General features: G+C 43.3%; 1 protein-coding gene across 20 annotated transcripts in view; it reads left to right on the top strand.

Moving 5' to 3' along the window:
* Positions 1-3,870, top strand: part of DDX59 (DEAD-box helicase 59) — a 29,103-nt gene that overhangs the window by 1,294 nt on the left and 23,939 nt on the right. For 17 of the 20 annotated variants that reach the window (XM_047431475.1, XM_047431471.1, NM_001349802.3 and 14 more), the window contains 1 exon segment: positions 1,863-2,677. In XM_047431475.1, coding sequence (XP_047287431.1) covers positions 1,874-2,677 — 804 coding nt within the window. In that variant the 5' untranslated portion in view covers positions 1,863-1,873. 20 annotated transcript variants of the gene reach the window in all.

Here is a 3,870-nt window from a genome sequence, read left to right as displayed (position 1 = left end):
GTACGACAAGGAAATATATTTTGGGGTAAAACATTTTTATTTTCTTCCTTGTTAGGCCAGAGTCAGATTGGAAAGTAAGTCACGATATACAGGGTTAAATAAAACCCATCTGATGAGAATTTATGGTTTGTAGGGCATGACTCTCCAGACCCCTTAGAAAGGAATTTGGGTAAGATAAAAAATTAGAGCTTAGTCCTCGTATGGTTGAGAGCTTGTGCTCTGGATCCACAGTGCCAGGGTTGTAACACTTAAGAATTGTGTGAGCTTGGACAAACCACTTAATTTCTTTTCTTTTTTTTTTTTTTTGAGACGGAGTCTTGCTCTGTTGCCCAGGCTGGAGTGCAGTGGCGCGATCTGGGCTCACTGCAAGCTCCGCTTCCCGGGTTCACGCCATTCTCCTGCCTCAGCCTCCCGAGTAGCTGGGACTACAGGCGCCTGCCGCCAACGCCCGGCTAATTTTTTTTGTTTTGTTTTGTTTTAATAGAGACGGGGTTTCACCGTGTTAGCCAGGATGGTCTTGATCTCCTGACCTCGTGATCCGCCCGCCTCGGCCTCCCAAAGTGCTAGGATTACAGGCGTGAGCCACTGCGCCCAGCCCAAACCACTTAATTTCTAAGTGGCTCAGTTTCTTCTGAGTGTATATAATGTGTTTTATACACACACACACGTTTTTTCATTATGCTATGTTATGTATATTACTATATTATTTTTTCATTATGCTATACTATGTATATTAGTCTTGTGTATATTACTCTATGTAATATACCTAGTATAGCATAATGAAAAAATATCTGTATATATATATATTAGGCAATGCTAACTGCTTTACATGGTTGTGAAGATTAGGTGAAGCACTGTGCTTGGCATATAATAAACACTAAGTGTTACTTATGAAAATAGCATTTTCTCTATGATTTGTGGCTTTGATTTTAAAGATTCTAATTGTGAAGTATTTCTCCTGTTTTCTTTTTTGATGCTATAATAGAAGGATTTACCCCAGAATTTCTATAATATCTGATACTTCAAAGTGCAAATAATCAGTAAACGGAAATAGACCATGTGTACAAGGCTATGTTGAGCAGTGTGCAGTGTTACAACACTGCTATGTGTGAGGAAGAGGACTCCATCTCTTCATCAGTGGAAGCTGGCGAATGGAAGAAAAGCTTGATATAAAGAGTGTCATGATGTCCTCACTATTCCTTTCAGGCATAACCCCAGGACACTCACTGTGTTGCCCAGGTTGGAGTGCAATGGTGAGGTCTTAGGCTCACCGCAACCTCCGCCTCCTGGGTTCAAGAGATTCTTCTCCCTCAGCCTCCCGAGTAGCTGGGAATACAGGTGTGCGCCACCATGCCCAGCTAATTTTTGTATTAGTAGAGACGGGGGTTTCACCATATTGGCCAGGCTGGTCTCAAACTCCTGACCTCGTGATCTGCCCGCCTCGGCCTCCCAAAGTGCTGGGATTACAGGTGTGAGCCACCACGCCTGGCCTTTTTAAAAATTTTTTTGAGACAGAATCTCACTGTCACCCAGGCTGGAGGGCAGTGGCACGATCTCGGCTCACTGCAATCTCTGCCCCCCGGGATCAAGTGATTCTCCTGCCTCAGCCTCCCGAATAGGTGGGATTACAGGCACATGCCACCATGCCCAGTTAATTTTTGTATTTTTTGGAGAGATGGGGTTTCAGCATGTTGGCCAGGCTGGTCTCAAACTCCTGACCTCAAGTGATCTGCCTGCCTCGGCCTCCCAAAGTGCTGGGATTACAGGGGTGAGCCACCGCACCTTGTCCTTAATCATATGGTACTTTATATGTGAACTTTATTAATGGTACAATAAATCTCATTATATAATTTCCTTAACAGAATATTGAAGGATGTTTGTTCCAAGATCTCTAAAAATCAAGAGGAATGCTAATGATGATGGCAAAAGTTGTGTGGCTAAGATAATTAAACCAGACCCAGAAGACCTTCAGTTGGACAAAAGCAGAGATGTTCCCGTTGATGCTGTAGCTACAGAAGCAGCCACAATAGACAGGCACATCAGCGAATCATGCCCTTTCCCCAGCCCAGGTGGCCAGTTGGCAGAGGTTCATTCAGTAAGTCCCGAGCAGGGTGCGAAGGACAGCCATCCTTCTGAAGAGCCCGTTAAGTCATTTTCCAAAACACAGCGCTGGGCAGAACCAGGGGAACCCATCTGTGTTGTCTGTGGTCGTTATGGAGAGTATATCTGTGATAAGACAGATGAAGATGTGTGTAGTTTGGAGTGTAAAGCGAAACATCTTCTACAAGTTAAGGAAAAGGAAGAGAAATCAAAACTCAGCAATCCACAGAAGGCTGATTCTGAGCCAGAGTCTCCACTGAATGCTTCCTATGTCTACAAAGAGCACCCCTTTATTTTGAACCTTCAGGAAGACCAGATTGAAAATCTTAAACAGCAGCTGGGAATTTTAGTTCAAGGGCAAGAAGTCACCAGGCCCATTATTGACTTTGAACATTGTAGTCTCCCTGAGGTCTTAAATCACAACTTGAAGAAATCAGGCTATGAGGTGCCAACTCCCATTCAAATGCAGATGATTCCTGTGGGACTTCTGGGAAGAGACATTCTGGCCAGTGCAGATACTGGCTCAGGAAAAACAGCTGCTTTTCTTCTTCCTGTTATCATGCGAGCTTTATTCGAGGTAAGTGTTAATAATAGAGTTCACATGTATTATTCTTGGAAACAAGTGAGGTATTTACCAAGTTTCATTTTTAACTATATTAAAATTGCAGACTAAAACTAAATATTTGGAATTTTAGTCACTAGTGCCTGTAGTGATTTTGCTTCTGATAGTAGTTTGTATGAAAACATAATTTCAGGGAATTTTTCTTGTATTATATTGAACCAGAGATCTCTTTATTGACGATCTAAAAACTTGCTTCCTTACAAAACATTTTCTTTTTAACAGTTTTTCTATTAACAGAATGAGCTTTGGATTTGAGGGGGAAAAGATCCAGCTGACCAGACGAGCTACAGTTTGTGTGTCAGTTTTGTCTCCTTGGATTTTGTGTTTTGAAGAAACTGATTTATACTGAAGTTGGAACACATAGAGTTTCAAAATATACTTTTTTTTTCTTTTTCTTTTTCTTTTTTTGGGACCGAGTTTCACTCTTGTCGCCCAGGCTGGAGTGCAATGGCACAATCTCGGCTCACTGCAACCTCTGCCTCCCAGGTTCAAGTGATCCGTCTCCCAGGTTCAGGTTCAAGTGATTCTCCTGCCTCAGCCTCCTGAGAAGCTGGGATTATAGGCATACGCCACCATGCCTCGCTAATTTTGTATTTTTAGTAGAGACAGTGTTTCTCCTTATTGGTCAGGCTGGTCTCGAACTCCTGACCTTAGGTAATCCAACCGCCTCAGCTTCACACAGTGCTGGGATTGCAGGCATGAGCCACCGCACCTAGCCTCAAAATATACTCTTAAATGTGATCTATGGTTCATCTTAAAATAATCACTACCATACCTTACTTGTTAGTTTATAGTGTGTAGAGCACTTTCACAAATAGTTTAACAAACATTTTGAGTAATTACTATTTCCCAAGTACTGATGAACTTGTGAAGTATGAAGTATGGCAGGAAGGGAAGTGAGTAAAAAATGTGGGGAAGGCGGGGCACAGTGGCTCACGCCTGTAATCCCAGCACTTTGGGAGGGCGAGGTGGGCAGATCACCTGAGATCTAGAGTTCAAGACCGGCCTGGTCAACACGGAGAAACCCCATCTCTACTAAAAATACAAAATTAGCCGGGCATGATGGCGCATGCCTGTAATCCCAGCTACTCGGGAGGCTGAGGCAGGAGAATCACTTGAACCCAGGAGGCGGAGGTTGCGGTGAGCCG

Source organism: Homo sapiens, chromosome 1, assembly GCF_000001405.40.
Source record: "Homo sapiens chromosome 1, GRCh38.p14 Primary Assembly".
Taxonomy (NCBI): domain Eukaryota; kingdom Metazoa; phylum Chordata; class Mammalia; order Primates; family Hominidae; genus Homo; species Homo sapiens.
This window is presented reverse-complemented; position numbering and strand designations above follow the sequence as displayed.